The 25,319-nt window shown below is 39.5% G+C and overlaps 1 long non-coding RNA gene across 1 annotated transcript; it reads right to left on the bottom strand.

Moving 5' to 3' along the window:
* Positions 1-3,799: 3,799 nt before the first annotated feature.
* LOC105375082 (uncharacterized) lies at positions 3,800-23,887 on the bottom strand. The gene is made up of 3 exons (XR_926865.4): positions 23,538-23,887; positions 21,915-21,981; positions 3,800-4,067 (listed from the first exon to the last, which is right to left on the bottom strand). It is a non-coding gene; the product is annotated as an uncharacterized LOC105375082 (long non-coding RNA).
* Positions 23,888-25,319: the final 1,432 nt, after the last annotated feature.

Consider the following 25,319-nt stretch of genomic DNA (forward strand, 5'->3'; position numbering starts at 1 on the left):
AGAGGTTCATCAAAAAATTAAAAATAGAACTACCATGTGATCCAGCAATCCCACTACTGGTTATATATAACAGGAAATGAAATCAGTATATCATGGAGATATCTGCATTTCCAAGTTCATTGCAGCAGTATTTTCAATAGCCAAGACAAGATATGGGATAAATTTAAATGCCATCAACGAATGAATGAAGAAAACGTGGTATACATATATATTAATACACACACACACACACACACACACACACACACGCACAGGAATGCTGGAGGACATTATGCTGAGTGAAATAAGCCAGCACAGAAACATAAATACTATACAATCTCACTTATAAGCGGAATCTAAAAAAGTTGAACTCATAAAAATAGGGAGTAGAATAGAGATTAAAAGGGATTGGGGCAGGGGATGGTGAAGGCTGGGGAGATGTTGGTCAGAGGGTACAAAATTTCAGTTACACAAGAGGAGTAAGTTCAAGAGATCTATTGTACAATGTGGTGACTATAGTTACTAACAATTTGTTGTATTCTCAACTGTTGCCAAGAGAGTACATTTTAAGTGTTCTCACCACAAAGACAAGATATGTGAGGTAATGTGTATGTAAATTAGCTTGAGTTTGCCATTCCATAATGTACACGTATATTTTCAAAAGTATACAACTAATACATATGATTTTAATTTGTCAATTTAAATAAAGTTTTTTAAGGAATTGATTACAACCAACTTTTATACAAATAATAAAATGAGAAATAAAAATAAGCAGAGATGGAAAAACCAGCAGTTTTTTAAGTCTGTTCCTGTACTGCTGAGATTTTCTGCATGTGTGAGAAATTCTGAGAGAGGGCCTTAAAGCTAACATTCCATGAACATTATGTGTATATACACAAAGTGTTGATATGTTACCATAAAGCTTCATAGACATTGCTACCCTCTAATATCCATTGTCTGATACCCATTGTCTCATTCTGTTCAGCTGCTATTATAAATAATCATGGACTGGGTGACTTATAAACAACAGAAATTTATTTCTTTTCTTTTTTTTTTTTTCAGACTGAGTCTCGCTGTCGCCCACGCTGGAGTGCAGTATTGGGATCTCGGCTCGCTGCAAGCTCCGCCTCCCAGGTTCACACCATTCTCCTGCCTCAGCCTCCCGAGTAGCTGGGATCACGGGTGCCTGCCACCACGCCCGGCTAATTTTTTATATTTTTAGTAGAGACGGGGTTTCACCGTGTTAGCCAGGATGGTCTTGACCTCCTGACCTCGTGATCCACCCGTCTCAGCCTCCCAAAGTGCTGAGATTACAGGCGTGAGCCACCGTGCCCGGACAGAAGTTTATTTCTTACAATACCATTCTACTCTCTATTTTTATAACAGGCCAGAATGTCCAAGATCAGTTTGCCAGCACAGGTGGGTTCTGGTGAGGGCCTGCTTCCTTCATAGACAGAAATGTTTCACTGAAACCTCACACTGCAGAAGGAACTATTACATAGCTAGCTCTCCAGGGTCTCTTTTATAAGAGCACTAATCCCATCCATGAGTGCTCCATCCTTATAACCTAACCACCTTCCAAATGCCCCACCTCCTATACAACCACTTGGGGGTTAGAATTCCAACACATGAATATAGACGGGAACAAACATTCAGACCATAACATCTGTTCCCCTGGCATTTTTGTTTGTTTGTTTGTTTTTTAGTAACAGAACGCTCATATTATTTGGAGCTAACTCTCTTTTGACTTATGTAGAAGAGTAACTAGTTTTTAACTTTTTAAAATTACAGCTATTTGAGGTCTCATTTGTGTACAGATAAACTGATACATACTGCAGTGCATGCTGTGATGATGCACACTCCAACATACCCCTTTAGGACTGATGAACTTACTTACTCCACCAGCTGCTGAGAGCATGGCCCACAGAGAGCCCTCAGCTTGCAGCTCTCTTACATACCTGCCTTCTGCTGAACAGAGTTGCCTCATGCCAGCTCATGCCCTATTTCTAAGATAGTCTACACCCAATCACTGATTGACAGGGAACAGTAACATCTGGTCCCCTTGTTCCAGCTTGGTACAACTCTGAAGGGCCACCTCCATTTCAGAGCTATTTTTGGGCTTAGTTCAGGCTTTTGTTGAAACTGCATTATAGTCCAACTTCTTCCGCTTAATCTTACTTCCTTTTTTTTTCCTTCCACTAGTGTTGATCCCCAAAAGCACTCCATAATAAACTTCCTGCACACTAATATCCTCCTCAGATCTCAGGGAAAGCAACCTGTAACATAGACAAAAAGACCTTTTCACCCACAAAAATTAATAGGTGGAACTAGGATTGAAAGGATGTCAAATGAACCAATTTCTTAAGCATTTTTGTTTAAAAAAAGTAATAAATTTCAGGCAGAAATTTTCCTACTGCAACTAACAAAACAACCATGTGTGCTGAACAAATATATACTTACTATATATTGGACACTGTAGTGGTTTTCAACCAAAGGTTGTACCACCCTGATGAAGACCTTTGGAAATTTGTAAGGGTATTTGAGGGGTGGGAACTGGTCACCATGACTGGCAGGTATTACTGGTGTTTAGTGTTGTGGTCCAGAGATGCTAAATATCCAGGAATGGCCAATAGAGTCCCAACAGTGAAGGACGTTTCTTCACTGAAGAGGATACAAAGAGGTGTAAGACATAGTCTCCTCTTTCTGCTCTTAGCTTATTTTCTAATCATGGGAAAAGAAAAAAATACTAAATATGATAAATATATCAAGCTCATGTAACAGCATCTACTGATAGCCAAATGGTTTGTGTAGACAGTAAATGCAAAAATGCTTCACAGAGTGAAATGATTGCAGTGAATAGGGCTTCAGGGGAAGAGCTGCAAGATTCTAAAAATTAACAGAAGAATGAATTTTTAGGACTTTTATTCTGAGAATTTTGTGTCTCCTTTTATCAAATTATATATAACTCTGCTAGTAATTGGTGAAGGCAAGATTTAAGCTCAGGGCTATCTAATTCCAAAGCCCATCCATGCCCTTTCTACTCCTCTCTGCTGCCTTTATTTATGATATTTTACTATCTAAAACTCCCACATTCACTTACCAGTAAACCTGCCTGCCTCCCCTTGCTAAATTGAAAAGTAATTGATCACTGGAGCAGACCCTATTCATTTATGTTGGCCATGCAGGGGATGGCAGAGGCTAGTTCTCCCTAGAACACATTGGCAGGAAATGTCCAGCAGTCAACCTGGACACTGACACTCGCCAAAAGCTGTCTCTGTAATCTCTGGAGCCCTTGATCTCATAGATATCATGGTGCTGGGAGGATGGTCACTTGGGAAGCAGGCATGTTCTTCCTCACAGCTAGAGATCAAAGTTACTGTGGTTCCTCTAGATTCCAGCTTCCCGCATTGTTATCCCCTTAAATTTAAGATAAATGGGTCAGACACAGTGGCTCATGTCTGTAATTCCTTTGCAACCAGACAGGTCCCTGATTCCCCTCACAGGATGTGCAACAGAAGTGTGGCTTGCCTGTTCAGTAGCCCTGCTGCTCAAACCTCTTGAAAGACGGGGAGCGTGCAGATTAGCAGGTATACAGGCCGGAAGAGCGCTTTGGGCTCCAGCCCGGCGGTACAGTCTAGAGGTGGTTTCCTGCAACCCCAGTGTTACAGAGCTCTTTCAGCTTTGCTCTCCACAGATGGCTTTAGTGTTAATCAGCTCAATGGACCCTCTGCCTTTTTGCAAGGGCAGAGGGCCAGCGTGACAGCTTTCCGTATCCCGGGCTTTTGTCCAGCCTCCCGGAAAAATCGGGTCACGCACGAACTCGAAGGATGAATGCGAAGTTTTATTGAGTGGTGGAGGTGGAGGTGGAGGTGACTTTCAGCAGGATAAATGGGGAGTCAGAAGCAGGGGATGGAGTGGGAAAATGATCCTCCCCTGGGGTCGGGCCGCCCAGCAAACAGAATCCTTTCGGACTGCCCCCAGCCTTATTCCTCTTGGCGTTCAGATGTTCCTCCTCTTCTCCCTTTCTCTGCCCCGTCATTCCTCCATCCATCTGCTGGTCTGCAGGCTTGCTGGTCAGTTTCTGGAGCCTGAGGTATATATGGATGCAGGTTAGGGGGCATGGTGGGTGAAAAGGCAACTTTTTGGGCACGAAACAGGAATGTCTGTTCTCATTTAGAACCGTGTGTATCCAAGCTTGAGGGTGGGGCCTTTGCCAGGGAACCACCCTCTTCTACCCAGTATTTCCCTGTCTCCTATCTGTATCACCATCACTTTGGGAGGTGGAAGCAGGAGGATTGCTTGAGGCTAAGAGTTCAAGACCAGCCAGGGCTATAAAGCGAGACCCCATCTCTACAAAAAAAAAATTTTTTTAATTAACTGGGCATGATGGCATGAGCCTGTAGTCCCAGCTACACTGCAGGCTTAGGCAGGAGGGTCGCTGAAGTCCAGGAATTCAACTCTACAGTGAGCCGTGATCACACCACTGTACTCCAGCCTGGGTAACAGTATGACACTGAGACCCTGTCTTTAAAAAAAAAAAAAAAAAAAAAAAAGAGTTGTTAGAAAAACCAGAAAAGACCAAAGATGTCTGCGAGTGGGAGTATAGCACCATCACTGCCGCATTTTTAGGTTGCTAATTTAATGCCAGAAAGGTTATTTCCTCTTAAGCTATGTTGCTTAAACTGAAGGTCCCATGACACCAGGAAAACAGTCATGATTTGGTCAAGCTCCTGGAGAAACAGGCATCTTTTGCCATGGATGTGGTTTGCTTGAATTGGAAGTTTTGGAGTAAATAAAATAAAGACAGACCTGCATATAAAAATAGCTATTAAGTATTACTAAACTGTACTAAATCTTTCAACCAAGATTTAAGGATAGAAACCAAAATTTGGCCTTTTCTTCATTCATTCTCACTAAATTTTTATGATCCCAAATTTTTTTGCCCCAGTTCTCTTTTCTCCTTACATTCCAAAGAGAAGCATTTAACCCTTTGTTCTCACTCACTTGACTCAATTCCTAGGGTTTTGTCTGTTCATCATTCAGCATTGTGGATTTTTTATTTGTTTGTTTTGTAGAGTAAAGACCTAGATTTTCTAGAGCAGTGGAGATTACCTGGACCTCAGTCTTTCCCCTCTTAGTCGGCAGTAGCTGTACTGAGATAAAGTGCCCCTTTTCATGAGCCTCTACCTTATCCCTTTCTTGTTTTTCCTTCACATGACAGTAGCTTAAGAGCCAGCAGACATCCGGTGCCCACCTATCCAGCAGCCTGAAACATATGAGCTTATCTTTCCTCTTAGTGAATTTCCCGGCAGTGTGCCACTTTGGAGAGAATCAAATGGCTTCTCTTGCCTTAGGTTTGCAGATGCCATTAAGGGTTTATTCATCATATAAATACTATGGTTTTCTTTTTTTTTTTTTTTTTTTTGAGACGGAGTCTCGCTCTGTCGCCCAGGCTGGAGTGCAGTGGCGGGATCTCGGCTCACTGCAAGCTCCGCCTCCCGGGTTCACGCCATTCTCCTGCCTCAGCCTCCCAAGTAGCTGGGACTACAGGCGCCCGCCACTACGCCCGGCTAATTTTTTGTATTTTTAGTAGAGACGGGGTTTCACCATTTTAGCCGGGATGGTCTCGATCTCCTGACCTCGTGATCCGCCCGCCTCGGCCTCCCAAAGTGCTGGGATTACAGGCGTGAGCCACCGCGCCCGGCCAATACTATGGTTTTCTTTGCTGATGAGATTAGTCCTAACAGCCTGCTTTCACATAGCAACAGAAATAGTTACTGTTTTAGAGAACTTGCCCCAGGAACAAATTCAAACTAACACCAAGACACAGCCTTTTGCAAGATTGTTGAAGTAAAATTTAACAAGATATATTTTTTAAGTAAGCTGTCAGGGGTTTCTCACCCTTTGCTGGCAGTAGAGAGAATGAACTCAGGGAATCTGCAGAAATATTGGGTAATACTTGTTTTGAATCTTAAATCTGCATACATACACAAGTATTACCCAATATTTCTGCAGATTCCCTGAGTTCATTCTCTCTACTGCCATCCACCCACATATGCTTCCAGATTACAGAATGTCTAGCCCTTTTAGTAGTTTCCACACAAATGTCATTCGTACACAAGCATTTCGTGAGTCCAATAACTGCAGCAGAGGCCCCATAGTGAACTGAAAAATTTTCTATTATTTCATAGGACATTCCTTAACAACCCCACCAACCATTCTCCCTACCTCTTCTGCCTGAGAACAATAGACATACTTTCTCCCTGTTATCTGCCCGTACTCCTTTATCCAGATCCTGAAAGCTCATCTTCTCAACAATTACGTATTCCTCCCTAGAAGGAAACTTGTACCAGCTGCCATTATCTTAGCCCCCTGCCAACCGATCACCAACTTTGAAAAGAGGGGAGTAGAGCCTGAGAAAGGGCAGCAGAAGAGACAGGACCAACCATGGAAGGGCTGGAAGAGAGCGATATAGAATCATCTGAAAATGGGAATCTGCAGAGAGGACAGGCAATGATGGGGCAGCTCAGTAGGAGATGGCTGTATTAACCAGGGCTCTTAGGTCACAAGAGACAGGCACCTAATCCAAACCAGTTTAAGGGTGGAAAGGAAATGTATTGGCTCTGTTATCTGGGAAGGATATTGGGGAAACTCGCAGGACTGAAAGGTAAGCTGTAGGAACCACGCCTCAGGGCCTACAGAGAGGGACTTCTTGACACTAGGATTTGTTCTGTCTCCCTCCATCACCCATTTCTGTTTGTTTCTTCTTGGTTTCATTCCACACATGGGCTGTTTCATATGGTGGAGAACATGGCTTAGGGATGTCCTAGCCATGAGCCCATACACAAAAAGGACTTCTTTTACATGTGGCCATACACAAATTTCAAGTAAGACTGATTGCTCTGCTTATGTCATATCACCATTGCTGCATATGAAGAGAGGGAAGTCCCACCGGAATACCAAGAGAAAGGGAACAATTACACAGAAATAACGAGTGATATTACCCGAAGAAGAAGGATGAGAAAGTATGATAGGCAAACCAAACAAGCGATAGCTATTGCCAACCTCCTGAAAGACCACAGGCTGCCTGAGAGCTAAGGAGAGTATGCTAAAAAACGGTGATGAGGAGGAGGCATATGCCAAAAATTCTGTAGATGCCACAACTCTCCTTGGCCAGATGTGTGACAATGGCAGAAAATTTGAAGGGTTGATTGGCTATTTTTGTGTTGCCCATGCAGAAGCGGTCATGGAATTATTAGCTGGTAATATCGTGAGCAGCCAAAGCTTGGGTGAGGATTTAAGAGTGGGAAACAAATAATCCACAGAGGCTGGACTCAACCCGGAAACCACTCTTTTCCAGTCCAAAAGACCCAGGGACCCCTAGGTATGGTGGCACATGCCTGTAGTTCCAGCTACTAAGGAGGCTGAAGCGGGAGGATCACTTGAGCCCAGGAGTTCAAGGCTGCAGTGAGCTAGGATCACACTGCTGCACTCCAGTCTGGACGACAGGGCAAGACTCCAGCTCAAACAAAAAAAAAAAAAAAAGAAAGAAAGAAGAAAAAGAAAAAGATCCAGGGACTTTTACAACTCCCTCCACTGGAAGAAATTGCTATGTGCCCAGGGACAAGCTTAGAGTTCAGAGTAAGGAAGAGAGATGCAGGGAAAAGCACATAAATGACACCCTTTCCCAGATAGGTGGCTGTCTCCTGCATTCAGCAGACCAAAGGGAAAAGGCAGAAACATCTAACGTATTAGCAATTCACAAATCTCTGCAGTAGCCATAGTCTAGGACTGAGTACAGTTAATAGACTCTGTTTTAATTTTGCCCAGTCCAGATGGAGAGATTTAGGTTTAGCTGCAAATAATATTGAAAATTTCTGACAGCAAAACAGGACCATTAAAAGGAAAAAGGTATGGGTCAAAGGACAACGTAAGACTCCAAAGAGGTAGATAAGCAAATTATTTAATCTGAAAGAAAGAAGTCATGCAGGTTAGAAAGACAAGGTGGGTTGATTCATCTTAGCATATTTCAACTGCCTTAATAAATAAAGGCACTCAATAAGTAATTTTTTTTTTTTTTTTGAGATAGAGTCTCACTCTGTCACCCAGGCTGGAGTGCAGTGGTGTGATCTCGGCTCAATGCAACTTCTGCCTCCCAGGTTCAAGCGATTCTTCTGCCTCAGCCTCCTGAGTAGCTGGGCTTACAAGCGTGCGTCATCACACTCGGCTAACTTTTGTATTTTTGGTAGAGATAGTGTTTCATCATGTTGGTCAGGCTGGTCTTGAATTCCTGACTTCATGATCCACCCACCTCAGCCTCCCAAAGGGCTGGGATTACAGGCGTGAGTCACCACGCCTGGCCTCAATAAGTAATTTTTTTAAATGAATGAGTACTGTCTCTTTTTATACCTGGCTTCTCGTTTCCATATCCCTTTTCTTTTTTACTCTTTTTTCATTTTCTAATTTTCTATGAATTTGTGAGGTATTTGTACTTTTCAGATGCATTTCCTTTTTGCTTTTAAAAGTGTAATTACACAAATGAAACATAATACAATTCCATTTTAAATGATTTTTAAAATTCAGAAATATAGTAAAATGTTCAAGTCTTCTTTTAACACACACGTACGTCAAAATCTTGCTTCTATCCTCAGAAGCTAGTAACTATTTGAGAAATATCCTTTCAAAATGTTCTGTGCATTTATGTGTATGCTTTGTAACACACATATATGTATATGTATATATATATTTATATATAGAGAGATGATAAGCTACATATAAAGTTTCATATGCTTAAATTCTGTTTTATGGATTTGTTTTTCTCTTGAAATTATGACTTGCAGATCATTTTATATCAATACATATGAGAATGCGATATTATTTTTTATGTCAATAATAGTCTATCATTTATTTAATCAGCCCTCTATTGATGGACAATTCCCATTTTTTGCTAGTAAGATTTGCACTCTTCCATCTCACTGTGCCAGTCTGGTAAAGTGGTTTGTAGGTAACTGACTTAATACTTAACCTTGAAAGTTGAGTAAAAGTTGGGCTGACTGGACTAAGAGAAGAATTAGGGGCTGAAATGCAAACTGGTAATAGAATATATTCACCTGACTCATCTCTTGAACATGTTTTCTTCCAGAACTAAGCAATAGAGGTGGTAATCATAGGATGCTACTGGTTTGGGTATTAGGGGCTGAAATGCAAACTGGTAATAGAATATATTCACCTGACTCATCTCTTGAACATGTTTTCTTCCAGAACTAAGCAACAGAGGTGGTAATCATAGGATGCTACTGGTTTGGGTATTGGGGTTTTGAAATTTTAATGAAAACTAGGACTTTCTTGCTTATTTAGCATTATTTATTTTGATATTTATTTGCTTTTCCCTTGATTATAAAAACCATTTTCTAAGAAAATGTAGAAAACACAGTAATGGAAAATGAAAAAAAAAAAGTAAGAACAACTGTTATCATTCTTATCACTGTTATTGTTCCTTTTACTCTTTATTGGACGTATATACATGAACAAAACTGAGACATAGTATAAAACAGATTTGTGTTCTGCTCCTTTTATTTTTTAATTTTTAATTTTATGGGTATATAGTAGGTATATATATTTATGGGATATATGTGATATTTTGATACAGGCATGCAGTGTGTAATAATCTTCAGGGTAAATGGGCTGTCCATCACCTCAAGCATTTGTCCTTTCTTTGTGTTACAAAATTCCAATTATAGCCTTTTATTTACTTTTAAATGTAGAATAAATTATTGTTGACTGTAGTCACCCTGTTGTGCTATCAAATACTAGATCTTACTTATTCTATCTAACTATGTTTTTATACTTATTAACTATCCTCATTTCCACCTCCTCTGTACTACTCTTCTCAGCCTCTGGTAGCCATCATTCTACTCTCTATTTCCATGAGTTTGTTTTAATTTTTAACAACAAATAAGTGAGAACAGGTGAAGTTTGTCTTTCTGTAACTCACTTATTTCACTTAACATAATGTCCTCCAGTTCCAGCTATGTTGTTGCAAATGACAGACTCCCATTCTTTTTTATGGGTGAATAGTACTCCACTGTGTATATGTACCACATTTTCTGCAGCCATTCATCTGTTAATGGGCACTTGGGTTGTTTCCAAATTTTGGCTATTGTGAATAGTGCTACAATAAATATGGTAGTGCAGATATCTCTTCGATATACAGATTTCCTTTCTTTGGGGTATATACTCAGCAACAGGATTGCTGGATCATATGGTAGTTCCATAGTTCTACTTTTAGTTTTTTGAGGAACCTCTAAAACTGTTCTCCATAATGGTTGTACTAATTTACATCCCCAACTACAGTGTACAAAGATTCCCTTTTCTCTACATCCTCACCACCATATGTTATTGCCTGTCTTTTGGGTAAAAGCCATTTTAACTGGAGTGAGATGATATTTCATTACAGTTTTGATTTGCATTTATCTGATGAATAATGACGTTTAGCATCTTTTCATATACCTGTTTACCATTTGCATGTCTCTTTTTGAGAAAAATTCATTCAGATCATTTGCCTTTTTTTTTTTTTTTTTTTTTTTTGAGGCAGGGTCTCACTCTGTCACCCAGGCTACAGTGCTGTGGCACGTTCGCAGCTCACTGAAACCTCTGCCTCCTGGGTTCAAGCAATTCTTGTGCCTCAGCCTCCTGAGTAGCTGGGATTACAGGTGTGCACCACAATGCCCGGCTAACTTTTGTGTTTTTTGGTAGAAACAGGTTTTCACCATGTTGGCCAGGCTGGTCTCAAACTCCTGACCTCAAGTGATAGTCCTGCCTTGGCCTCTCGAGTGCTGGGATTACAGGCATGGACCACTGCACCTGGTCTGATTTGCCCATTTTAAAATCCGATTATTAGGTTTTTTTCTTATTGAGTTGTTTGAGTTCGTTATATATCCTGGTTATTATTTCTTATCAGGTGAATAGTTTGCAAATATTTTCACCCATTTTAATGGGTTGTCTCTTCAGTTTGTTGATTGTTTCCTTTGCTGTAAAGTAGCTTTTTAACTTGATGTGATCCCATTTGTCCATTTTTGCTTTTGTTTCTCCTGCTTGCGGGTTATTACTCAAGAAATCTTTGCCCAGAACAATGTCCTGGAGTTTCCCCAATGTTTTCTTTTAGTAGTTTCATAGTTTGAGGCCTTAGATTTAAGTCCTTAATCCATTTTAATTTGTGTTACGGGAAGTCAGGGACCCCAAACGGAGGGACCCACTGAAGCCATGGCAGAAGAATGTGGATTGTGAAGATTTCATGGACATTTATTACTTCCACAAATTAATACTTTTATAATTTCTTATGCCTGTCTTTACTGCAGTCTCCAAACATAAATTGTGAAGGTTTCATGGACACTTATTACTTCCCCAATCAATACCCTTGTGATTTCCTATGCCTGTCTTTACTTTAATCTCTTAATCCTGTCATCTCCTAAGCCGAGGAGGATGTATGTCACCTCAGGACCCTGTGATAATTGCATTAACTGCACAAATTGTAGAGCATGTGTGTTTGAACAATATGAAATCTGGGCACCTTGAACAGAGAACAGGATAACAGCAATGTTTAGGAAACAAGAGAGATAACCTTAAACTCTGACCACTGGTGAGCTGGGCGGAACAGAGCCATATTTCTCTTCTTTCAAAAGCAAATGGGAGAAATATCGCTGAATTATTTTTCTCAGCAAGGAACGTCCCTGGGAAAGAGAATACGTGCCTGGGGGTAGGTCTAAAGATGGCCCCACTGGGCGTTGCTATCTTCTATGGTTGAGGCTGTAGGAGTGAAATAGACCCCAGTCTCCCATAGTGCTCCCAGGCTTATTAGGAAGAGGAAATTCCCACCTAATAAATTTTGGTCAGACAAGTTGTACTCAAAACCCTGTCTCCTGATAAGATGTTATCAATGACAATGGTGCCCAAAACTTCATTAGCAATTTTAATTTCGCCCCAGTCCTGTGGTCCTGTGATCTCGCCCTGCCTCCATTTGCCTTGTGATATTCTATTACCTCATGAAGTACTTGTTGTCTGTGACCCACACCTATTCGCACACTCCCTCCCCTTTTGAAAGTCCCTAATAAAAACTTGCTGGTTTTGCGGCTTATGGGGCATTACAGAACCTACCGACATGTGATGTCTCCCCAGGACATCCAGCTTTAAAATTTCTCTCTTTTGTACTCTGTCTCTTTATTTCTCAGACCAGCTGATGCTTAGGGAAAATAGAAAAGAACCTATGTGACTATTGGGGCAGGTTCCCCAATAAATTTGATTTTTGTATACGGCAAGAGATGGGAGTTAGCGTCATTCTTCTGCATCTGGATATCTAGTCTTCCCAGCAACATTTATTGAAGAGACTGTCCTGTACACAATGTATGGCCTTGGAAAGTTTGTTGAAAATGAATTTACTGTATATATATATAAATTTATTTCTGGGTTATCTATGCTGTTCCATTGGTCTGTATGTCTGTTTTTATGCCAGCACCATGTTGTTTTGGTTACTACAGCTCTGTAGTATTATCTGAAGTCAGGTAATGTGATTCTCAGTTTTTTCCTTTTGCTCAGGATGGCTTTGGTTATTCTGGGCCTTTTGTGGTTCCATATAAATTTTGGGATTTTTTAAAATTTCTGTGAAGAATGTCATTGATATTTTGACAGGGATTACATTGACTCTGTAGATTGCTTTGGGTAGTATGGACATTTTAACAATATCGATTCTTCCAATCCATGAACATGGAATTTCTTTCCATTTTTTACTGTCATCTTCAATTTCTTCCACCAATGATTTATATCATTATAGAGATCATTCACTTGTACATTATAGAGAGTTTCCACTTCTTTAATTAAGTTTATTTCTAAGTATTTTATTTGCAGCTACTGTATATGGGATTACCTTCTTCATTTATTTTTCAGATTATTTGCTGTTGACGTATAGAAATGTTACTGATTTTTCTGTTTTGTATTCTGTGACTTTACTAGATTTGTTTAACAGTTCTAATAGTTTTTTGGCGGAGTCTTAGGTTTTTCCAAATGTAAGTTTATATATCTGCAAACAAAGATGATTTGACTTCTTCCTTTACAATTTGGATGCCCTTTCTCTTGTCTGATTGCTCTAACTAGAACTTCTAGTACTATGTTGAATAACAATGGTGAAAGTGGGCATCCTTTTCCTGTTTCAGATCTTAGAGGAAAGACTTTCAGTTTCCCCTCATTTATTATGATACTAGCTGTGGGTCTATTGTATATGGCTTTTATTGTGGTAAAGTATGTCCCTTCTATACCTAGTTTTTTTAGGTTTTCATCATGAAGAGATGTGGAATTTTATCAAGTGGTTTTTGAGCATCAATTGAAATGATCATATGGTTTTTGTCCTTCATTCTGTTGATATAATGTATCACATTGATTGATTTATGCATGTTGAGCCATCCTTGCATACCTGGGATAAATTCCACTTGCTCATGATGAGTAATCTTTTTAATGTGTTGTTGAAACCAGTTTGCTAGAATTTAATTGAGGATTTTTGCATCAACGTTCATCAGAGATATTGGCCTGTAATTTTCTTTTCTTAATGTGTCTTTGGTTTTGGTATCAGGGTAATACTGGCTTCATACAATGAGTTTGAAAGTATTCTGTCCTCCTTTATTTTTCAGAACAGTTTGAGTAGGATTGGTACTAGTTCTTCCTTAAATGTTTGGTAAAATTCAGCAGTGAAGCCATCAGGTTTCAGGCTTTTCTTACCTAGGTGAGTTTTTATTATGGCCTTGATCTTGTTACTTATTATTGGTCTATTCAGGTTTTGAATTTCTTCATGGTTCACTCTTGGTAGGTTGTGGGTGTCTAGGAATTTATCCATTTCTTCTAGGTTTTCCAATTTATTGACATATAGTTACTCATAGTAGTCTCTAGTGATCCTTTTAATTTCTGTGGTATAACTTATAATGTCTACTTTTTCTTTTTTGTTTTCTTCCCGAGGCAGGGTCTCACTTTGTTGCTCAGGTTGGAGTTTAGTGGCATGAACACGGCTCACTGCAGCCTTGTCCTCCCTGGCTCAAGTGATCCTCTTGCCTCAGTCCCCCAAGTAGCTGGGACTACAGGCATGCATCACTGCACCCAGCTATTTTTTGAATTTTTAGTAGAGACAAGGTTTCACCATGTTGCCTGGGCTGGTCCAGAATTTCTGAGCTCAAGTGATCTGCCTTCCTTGGCCTCCCAAAGTGCTGGGATTACGAGCATGAGTCACGGTGTCCTGAATAATGTCTCCTTTTTAGTCTCTGATCTTGTTTATTTGGGTCTTTTTTTCTTAATTAGGCTGCCTAAAAGTTTGTCAATTTTATCTTTAAAAAAAACCTTTTGTTCCTCTGATATTTTGCATTGTTTTTTCATTTCACTTTCATTAATTTCTTCTCTGATTTTTTTTTTTTTGAGACGAATTCTCACTCTGTTCCCCAAGCTGGAGTGCAGTGGCGTGATCTCGGCTCACCGCAACCTCCACCTCCCGGGTTCAAGTGATTCTTCTGCCTCACCCTCCCGAGTAGCTGGGATTACAGGTGCCTGCCACCACGCCCAGCTAATTTTTGTATTTTTAGTAGAGACGAGGTTTCACTATGTTGGCCAGGCTGGGTTTGAACTCCTGACCTCATGATCCACCTGCCTCGGCCTCCCAAAGTGCTGGAATTACAAGCATGAGCCACCCGACCCGGCCCTCTGATCTTTATTATTTCTTTTCTTCTGCTAATTTTGGATTTGTTTGCTCTTGCTTTTCTAGTTCACTAAGATGCCTCATTAGATTGCTTATTTGAAGTTTTTCTCCTTGTTTTTATTTAGGCACTTATTGTTATAAATTTTCCTCTTAGTACTGCTTTCGCTATATCCAATAGGTTTTGGTATGTTGTGTTTCCATTTTCATTTGTTTCAAAAAAGTTTTTAATTTCCTTCTTAATTTCTTTATTGACCTGTGAGTCATTTAGGAGCATGTTGTTTAATTTTCATGTGTTTGAATAGTTTCTAAAGTTCCTCTTGTTATTGATTTCTAGTTTTACTCCATTATGGTCAGAGAGGAAATGATATAATTTCAATTTTTTGAACTTCCAAAGACTTATTTTGTGGCCTAATATATGATCTATTTTTGATGATGTCCTATGTGCTGAGGAGAAGATTATGTATTCTGCAGCCGTTGGATGAAATGTTCTGTAAATATCTATTAGGCCCATTTGATCTACAGTGCAAATTAAGACTAGTGTTTGTCGATTTTCTGTCCAGATCATTTGTCCAATGCTGAAAGTGAGATGTTGAAATCTCTAGCTATTATTGTATTAGGGTCTATCTCTCTTTAGCTCTAATAATATTCACTTTATATATCTGGGTGCTCCAGTGTGGGATGCATATATATTTGTATTTGTTATAGCCTCCTGTTGAATTGACCCCTTTATCATTATATAATGACCTTCTTTGTCTCTTTTTATGATTTTTGTCTGGAAATCTATTTTGTCTGATATAAATATAGCTACTCCTGCTCTTTTTTTTATTTCTGTTTGCATGGAATGTCCTTTCCCATACCTTTATTTTCGGTTTATTTGTGTCTTTATAGGTGTAGTGTGTTTTTTGTAGGCAGAAAATAATTGGGTCTCTTTTTTTATCTATTCAGTTACTCTGTCTTTTGATTAGGGAGTTTAGTCCATTTACAGTCAATGTTATTATTGATAAGTAAGGACTTACTCCTGCCATTTTGTTGCTTTATGGTTGTTTTTTTGCTCCTTTCTCCCTTCATTCCTTTATTCTTGTCCTTCTTGTTGCAAAGATGATTTTCTCTGGTGGTATGTTTTAATTTCTTGCTTTTTATTTTTTTGTGTATCTGTTGTAGGTTTTTAAATTTGAGGTTACCATGAGGCTTGCAAATAACATCTTATACCCCATTATTTTAAATTGATGGCAGCTTAACATATTGCATAAACAGACAAACTAGCAAACAAGCAAATAGAAAACTAATAAAAGTCTACATTTTAACAACATCCTTCCATTTTTAACTTTTTTGTTTTATGCTATGTCTTGAAAAGTTGTTGTAGTTATTATTTTTGATAGGTTCATCTTTTAGTCTTCTTACTCAAGATATGAGTCCTTTACAAACCACAATTACAGTGTTATCATATTCTGGATTTGTCTGTGTACTTACTATTGCCAGTGAGCTTTGTACCTTTAGATGATTTCTTACTGCTCATTAACATCCTTTCATTTCAGATTGAAGAACTCCTTTTAGCACTTCTTGTAGGACAGGTCTGATGGTGATGAAAATCCTAAGCTTTTGTTTGTCTGGGAAAGTCTTTATTTCTCCTCCATGTTTGAAGAATATTTTCACTGGATAAAAGCTCTAGGATCCTATAATAAAAGTTGTTTTCTTTCAGCACTTTAGTAAACATTGTTTTCTTTCAGCGTGTTAGTGTCATGCCACTCTCTCTCTTGGCCTGTAAGGTTTCCACTGAGAACTCTGCTGCCAGACATATTGGAGCTCCTTTGTATGTTATTTTCTTTTCTCTTGATGCTTTTAGGATCCTTTCTTTATTCTTGACCTTTGGGAATTTGATTATTAAATGTCTTGAAGTTGTCTTATTTGGATTAAATCTGCTTGGTGTTCTGCATTATTCTTGTACTTGAATACGGGTATCTTTTCCTTGGTTTCAAAATTTCTCTGTTATTATCCCTTTGAATTAACTTTGTACCCTGATATCTCTCTCTCTCTGTGTGTGTGTGTGTGTGTGTGTGTGTGTGTGCATGTGTGTGTGTGTGTGTCTGTCCTAAGGCCAATAACCGTTAGATTTGCCCTTTTGAGGCTATATTCTAAATCTTATAGGCATACTTCCTCCTTTTTCTTTTTCTTTTTTCTTTTCTTTTTTTTGAGATGGAGTTTCGCTCTTGTTGCCCAGGCTGGAGTGCAGTGGCACAAACTCAGCTCACTGAAACCTCTGCCTCCCTGGTTCAAGTGATTCTCCTGCCTCATGCTCCCAAGTAGCTGGGATTATGCCACCACACCCAGCTAATTTTTGGTATTTTTTTAGTAGAGAAGGGGTTTCTCCATGTTGGCCAGGCTGGTCTCAAACTCCTGACCTCGATGATCCACCCACCTCGGCCTCCCAAAGTGCTAGGATTACAGGTGTGAGCCACTGCACCTGGCCCACTTCTTTTTTACTCTGTTTATTCTTTTGCCTTTTCTCACTGTGTATTTTCAAATAGTCTGTCTTCAAGCTCACTAATTTTTTTTTCTGCTTGATTAATTCTGCTATTGAGAGACTCTGATGCATTCTTCAGTATATCAGTTGAATTTTTCAGCTCCAGAATTTCTGCTTGAGTTTTAAAAATTATTTCAATCTCTTTTTAAAATTTATCTGGAAAGGATTCTAAATTTCTTCTCTGTGTTGTCTTGATCTTTCATCGATCTGTTATTTCATTGACCTTCCTCAAAGTAGCTATTTTGAATTCTCTGTCTGAAACGCCAAAGATCTCTGCCTCTGCAGGATTGGTCTCTACTGCCATTTTTACTTTGTTTGGTGAGGTCATGCTTTCCTGGATGGTCTTGATGCTTGTGGATGTTCATCTGTATCTAGACATTGAAGAGGTAGATATTTATTGTAGTCTTCATGGTGTGGGCTTGTTTATACCCATCCTTCTTGAGAAGGCTTTCCAAGTATTGAAAGTGAATTGAGTATTGTGTTGTAAATCTTTGGTCACTGCAGCTTTATCTGCTTTAGGGGGCACCTCAAGCCCCTTAATGCAGACTCTTACAGACTCATATAGATATCACCTTATTGGTCTTGAGAAAGACCCAGGTGAATTCCCTGTATTATCAGGCAGTGTCTCTGTTCTCTTTCCTTATTCTCCCCCAAACAAAAGGAGTCTCTCCTCTATGCTATGCTGCCTGGAGTTGGGGAAGGTGTGACACAAGCACCCCTATAGCCACCACCACTGAGACTGTGCTTGGTCAGACCTGAAGCCAGAACAGTACTAGCAGTTGGCAAAGGCCTGTGGTAACCATTGCCTGGCTACTGCTGATGGTTGTTCAAGGCCCAAAAGTTCTTTAGTCAGCAGGTGGTAAATCCAACTAAGCTTGTGTCTTTCCCTTCAAAATAGCAGGTTCCCTTGTGACCCAGGGTGGGTCTAGAAATACTGTCCAGGAGCCAGAGCCTAGAGTCAGGAATGTTAGGAATCTACTAGGTGCTCTACTTTACTGTGGCTTAGCTGACATATATGTTGCAAGACAAAGTTCTTTTTAATCTTTTTTCTCCTTTCCTCAAGCAGAAGTCTCTCCCTGTAGCCACTGTAGCTCCACACTCATGGCAAGTATTGACTGGCTACCACAGCTGTTTATTCAAGGCCCAAGGGCTCTTCAGTTAGCAAGTGATAAATCTTGCCAGTCCTAGGACTCTCCCTTCAGGGCAATGGGTTCCCTTCTGGCCCAGGGCAGGTTTAGAAATGCCATCCAGGAGCTAAGGCCTGGGATCAGGGACTTTAGGGATCTGCTTGGTCCTTCATTTTACTGTGGCTGATCTGGTACTCAAGTTGCAAGACAATGTCCTTTTTACTCTTCCTTCTCCTTTCTTCAAGGGGGAAGAGTCTCTCCCAAAGCTGTGAGCTGTGCTGCCTGGAACTGGGGGAACTATGGCACAAGCACTCCCTTGGCTGGCCAGCTGATATCTCACTGGGTTGTGTGCACCCCAAGTCCACTGGCTCCAAACCCAGCACAGCATCAGGACTTGTCCAAGAATTACAGTCCTTGTGGCCTAGATTGCCTTTCCAGTTTATTTATAACCCCAGAGTGTGTCAGTTCATGGTGGTGGAATTAGCTAGAACTCAGGTTCTAACCACCGATAGGGACAATTCCCCTCTGGCCAGGGCTGGTTTAATTGCTCCCTCCATGGGTGCCAGCTTAACTCTGTCCTGTGTTGCATTCCACTGTGAGTTCAGGGCAGCACTGAGTTCCAATGCAAAGTCCCACAGTCACTGTTGTCTCCCTCCCCCAAGCACATAGAATCTCTCTCAGCACCACAGAGCTGCTTCTGGTGAATGGGGAGAGATAATGTAGGCAATTCAAGACTGCCTTTTCTACCCTCTTCAGTGCCTCTTTTCTTGCTATGATAGTCAAACCAGGTACTGTGATTGCTCACCTGATTTTTTGTTTTTCCAAAAGGTGCTTTATTGTGTGGATAGTTGCTAAATTTAGTGTTCCTACGGGGACAGTGATTACTGGAGAGTTCTATTCCATCTTTCTCTGCCTCCTCCCTCTTCAGTGCCCAGCTCCTTTTAAATTAAACATTATATTGTGAACATTTTCCATGTCTATTAAAAGTATATATATATTTTTTGAGACAGGCTGGAGAGCAGCAGTGTGTTCATGGCTCACTGCAGCCTCAACCTAAGCTCAAACAATCTTCCCACCTCAGCTTCTAAGTAGCTGGGACCGTAGGTACATGCTACCACTCTTGGCTAATTTTTTGTTGTTATTTTTTATAGAGATGGGGTCTCACTATGTTGCCCAGGCTGGCCTCAAATTTCTAGGCTCCAGCAAGCCTCTTGCCTCAGCCTCCAAAAGTACTAGGATTACAGTTATGAGCCATGGCACCTGGCCCAAAAGTCTAATTTTATTGATCACATAGTTCTTAGCCTTATGTGGTAAAACCTGGATGCTTCTTGGATAAACTTAAGAAGCCTCACTTTCCACCTTCAGAAAGGCTGAAGATTTCAAGCCCAGTGCTACATGAATAAGTGTCTCCAGAAAGCCTAACATAAATATTATAGTTTTCTTATGAGTTGTCAGGGACTGAGTATAAGAATGTAAAGTACAAACAATTTGGAGACCAATTGGAAATATCTGCTGAAACTAAATATGTTCATTCCCTAATCCAGCAGTGCCACTTTTAGGTACATATGCTTAAGGAAACTCTTCCATAAGTACACAGGGATACAAATTTAAGGATGCTCATTCCAGCCCTGCTAAAATAGTAAAAAAAAAAAAAAAAAAAAAAAAAAAGAAAGAAATTTAAAAAATTGAAAATAACCAAAGTACCTATCAACAGGAGAATGGATAATAAACTGTAGTATATTTATGTGATGGAATACTATAGAACCATTAAAAAGAATGAGATGAAGCTATTTAGATCATCATAGATAGACATCAAAAGCAAAGGGCTGGGCCAGGTATGGAGGCTCATGCCTGTAATCCCACACTTTGGGAGGCTGAGGCAAGAGGATCACTTGAGCTCAGGAGTTCAAGACCAGCCTGGGCAACATGGTGAAATCCCGCCTCTATAAAAAATACAAAAAAATTAGCTAGGCATGATGGCGCATCCCTGTAGTCCCAGATACTTGGGGAGCTGAGGCAAAAGGATCAATTGAACCTGGAGATCTAGTCTGCAGTGAGCCAAGACAGCGTCACTGCACTCCAGTCTGAGTGACAGCGTGAGACTGTCTCCAAAAAAAAAGCAAAGGGCAATGCCTTAGTTTATTTGTAAGCATGCCTGCTTCATGGATATGTAAGTATATTGAAGTATGAAAAAAGATGAAAAACAAATTCATAGCAGTTGTCTCTGAGGAAGAGCATAATGGAGCAAGGGGAATTTTTACTTTACATGCTTTGTGTGTCATGTTTTAATTCTTTTCTTTTCTTTTCTTTTCTTTTTTTTTTTTTTTTTTTTGAGATGGAGTCTCACTCTGTAAACCCAAGTTGAAGTGCAGTGGTGCGATCTCGGCTCACTGCAACCTCCGTCTCTGGGGCTCAAGTGATTCTTGTGCCTCAGCCTCCAGAGTAGCTGGGACTACAGACATGTGCCCCCACACCCAGCTAATTTTGTGTATTTTAATAGAGACGGGGTTTCATCATGTTGCCCAGGGTGGTCTCAAACTCTTGAACTCAGGCAATCTGCCCTCCTTGGCCACCCAAAGTACTGGGATTACAGGCTCGAGCCACCCCACCTGGCCGATGTGTCATGTTTTTTTAAAAAAAGATTAAACAAATAAAACAAAATGTTGTTGTTCATTGATAATGTTATGTAGTACTTACATGGCCTTTTTTGTATTATTCTCAGTATTTCTAACTTCTCTTTAATTTTCTCTCAAAAAGGGTAAATAAATAATGAAAATAATAAATCTTTCAAGCCAATTAATTTATTATAAACATTATGTTATGCTGTAGATTCTCTCTACTTGCAGTAGTTATATTCTATAAAGTTTCAGTGAATACCAAATTAGCAAATACTGATCAATTGCTCAAAGGGAAAATACAGAGTTGGATTCCTGTGAGTCTCAGGTCACAATATTTTCATCAATTGATCACACATAACCTTGTATTATGTGTATTCCTGTTTTAAGGCACCTTATTTAATTAACACTGGACTCATGGTCATCAGCACTATAATTCTTACCTGAATAAAGCTTATCTAATGCAACCTATTTTCTCTGTAAGGCGTATCATAACCCTTGTGTGCTTAGGACCATTTTCCTTTTTTCTTTATTTGAGACAGACTCTCGCTCTGTCACCCAGGCTGGAGTGCAATGGTACGATCTCTGCTCACTGCAACTTCCGTCTCCCCAGTTCAAGCGATTCTCCTACCTCAGCCTCCAGAGTAGCTGGGAATTACAGGTGCGCGCCACCATGCCCGGCTAATTTTGCATTTTTAATAGAGACTGGTTTGACCATGTTGGCCAGGCTGGTCTCGAACTTCTGACCTCAAGTGATCCACCCACCTCAGCCTCCCAAAGTGCTGGGATCACAGGCATGAGTCACCACCATGCCCAGCCAGGAACATTTTCAAAAGCAAAATTACCACCAAAAAGCACAAAAACGTGAAAAAACATAGCACTAAATAGACCTCAAAGAGAATACTTGCTTACAGTATGAGGGCCAGAACAAGAAAGCAGAGGATTACCTCATTCAACCTCAGCCGAGAAATGTGAACATCAAGCAACTCAAATTTTTCACCATTCTATGCATGTCTGCAAATAACCAAGAAAGTGCCATGAATATTGATTTGGAAGTTACAAATAAATTTTAACAAGTAAGCAAATTCATACATAAATATCTATGAATAATAAGAGTTGGCTCCATGTACTTATGCAGATCAGTGACGCAAATTATAAACTGCAACAATATCTAAACAAGACTCTATTATTAAAACCTAATAATTTGCAGGTAACCATTCAAGTGACAGATATCAACTGCCTTCATCTCTGCTGAGACTTGTTGTCTTGTAGCATCTAGCTGAGGATGGTCACTCAAAGATCCCATGCACTTGGCAGATAGAAATTTTGCACCTTCTATCTGGAAAATCCCAGGCCTCGTGGGTCTCCCTTTTATCTTTCAACGTAAAATTTAGTCAAGGCATTTTTGTTTTCAATAAATTTTCTCTATTTAAAGAAACCAGCACCATGTAGATGAGCTACACAGGCTGGGGTCTTTGAATAGATTATTAAAATTCCACTTCACTTATTTTTTGATGTGAATAATCTCGGAATTCTAGTTTTGGAAAGGGCCATGTATATACATTTAATTGGTTTAATTCATCCCTGTGTAAGGGAGAGTAAATTTTAGAAAAGCCATTTTTAAAATGTGACATTGAAGAAAGGAGTTAGCAAATTGAAATCAAGCCTACCACTTTAAAGCTTTAAGAACTGATATTTAATATTTTCTCAGGTTTAGTCCTCAAAGATGGATTACCCCAACCATTTCTGCCAGGAATGTGAACTAAGAGATTTGGAAAAGCCAGCAATCATCTCATAGCATATTTACACCTTCTATATACCTATCAAACAAACAACAAAACTTTAAGTACCATGTTTACTGAAGCTTTTTTAAATTACAGAAATTGTATGTATGGACATGATCTTTTAAAGCCTATTTATTTTTAATTATCTCATTCATGCTATATATCTCATTCACACTCTTTCTTTTTGGGTTTTTTTTTCTTATGATTATTCTCAAGTCCTAAATCATTTCAAGATAAAATTGTAAGAAAATGCACTAGCTCCAAGGACCTTGTGGAAAGTCTCCTAGAAACTCATTGGTATGGAAAGGATGAATATTGAATGAGATGAAAACAGTTGCTTTGGCGGAGTCCCAGAAGATTTAAATGCATAAACATAAGCCTTGTGATGTTTGAGAGCCACAATAGCCAATATAAATAAATCATATGTAAAACAGTAACTTGAAAAAAAATGGAAAAAGAGATGGAAAAATGAAATAAATTACTTTTATCAAAATGTTTCTCAAATAATGGTAGGGGAGATAAGGTGATAAATAATAGATTGGCTATTTTTAAGAGGCCTTAGTAACAGTCTAAGTACATAGTGTTAAATTTCTGAATTTTTAACCACAGAAAGTCTATCCTTAGATAATCCATGTTGATTGTTTGCCTGCCATTTGAATTAACACACACACGCATTGTTCAATCCAAGTATTTTAAGTTTCCTTTTAAGAAGGCTTGCTAAATGGAAAACAACATTGATTGTTGGATTAGTTTACCCAAACAATGGGGACCAGGCAAAATGCTTACCTTTTTGATGCAGCCATATTTATGGGCTCTTGCTTTCACCTTTGTATTCAATGGCATTGACAAAATCTCAAATGCAGCATAGTAGATAGAGTCAAATGAGCTGACTGCCCTTGGCAGCAACATCCAAAACTGAAAAACATGATATGATATGTCTTAAAAGCAAGATCATTACTGTGTTTTTGAGTTTGGGAAAGAAGGAAGGTAGAAATCCCAGTGTAGGAAAATGAGTATCCAAAGAAACGGAGAGGACTAGAACTAACTTTGGGTTCTAAAGGAGTACAGGTCAAATAAGGATTCCTTCTTCCCTTCCTTTTTTCCTCCCTCCCTCTCTCCTTCACTTCCTTTCTTCCACTTCACAAATTTCCTGTTTTAAACATAAGCTTTTAAATTTTTTCAACTGAAGTACCAGGAGGTTCCTCCTCTTTGAAACCTAGAGTAATTAATCAATTAGAGGAAAGAAGATAATTCAGCTCATTCCAAATCAGTCTGGAAAATTTGCATTGTCCTACATGGCTATACATATTACTTTGTGAGAAAAATGAGATGGGGTAACCTAATTGCCTTTTATTTAAAAATGAGTTGGCCCATTTTCAAAATATTATTCAAATGTCTCAAGAAACCATTGAGAATAAGAAATAAGCCTCCTTCAAATCACATGTCAGGAATAGGAAGGTCAATGCATCCTTCACCTCTGAGACTGACACAAATGGCACATACAAGGGCACTTTTCTTTTCTTCTCTTTAAGTGATGCATAGTTTCCAAGTCAGAACTGATTTGTAAACAATGTAATCCTGAAGAATCAACACAGAAGAAAAAGAAGATGGAGGGCAGATAGATGGGTGGAAGGGTCAGACATTATCAAATTGCTTTCCTGTCCCTGTGATTCCCTGAGCTCCAAAAGTCTGTTTTTATTAACCCAGTTTCAGTCCAATTATCTTTTTAATTGTTCAAATTTACCCTTGGCTAGGGTATCCAAAAGCTTTAATTTCTTTCTAAAATTACCTCATTTTTTGTGTCTTTAGAAGCACATGTAACATGTGACTATGTTAGGAGCAGAGAGAAAGGCAAGATGTGAGTAAGTAGCCTTTAAAAGATCTGCGGGAACATCAAAATATCTGTCTTCAAATGGCCCTACTCTTTTAAACATCACTGAGGCCAGCACAAGCAAAGTACAAGTGCCTGACCAGGTGCTCCTAACTACATGAAAGGCCAGAGCACAAAAAGTCAGGCTGTACCTTATATATGGTCAGACTTCGCATTTGGAAAAAATACTTAATACCTTTAGTGCCCACTTTTATTGACTAGATTTTTACTTACAGACTTATGCTCATTTTAACTGGTAAAATTATACTAAAATATATAGCAAAAAGATTAGTAATCTCTCTCTTCATTGCCTCCACTCTCACTCCCAGCCAACACTCCCCAACCCTTCCATTTTCACATCAACACCTTGATCGCCAATTAAGCCAAATGTACTAGCTCAAGAGTACCTGCTAGTGTCATGTGGTGCAGGCTGGAATTTAGGGCAGACAGGAAGCAGTTGCAGGGGCCCCTTCTCTGTGGATGGACAAGCCTAGGCTAAGTACAACTGGACGCATGGGACACACTGTGGGGCTATGCTCCAGAAAAGGGACCCTATCTCCCTATGACTCTTCCTTTTTATGGGGCAAGTAATGGAATGCTCTTGCAAATGGGGCAAGATAATCCAAGCTTGGGTATCAAAAAGGTGAGCATGGGTGCTAGCTGTTTATAGGATTCTAGGACAATGATTTGGATTCTAG

Source organism: Homo sapiens, chromosome 6 (genome assembly GCF_000001405.40).
Source record: "Homo sapiens chromosome 6, GRCh38.p14 Primary Assembly".
Taxonomy (NCBI): domain Eukaryota; kingdom Metazoa; phylum Chordata; class Mammalia; order Primates; family Hominidae; genus Homo; species Homo sapiens.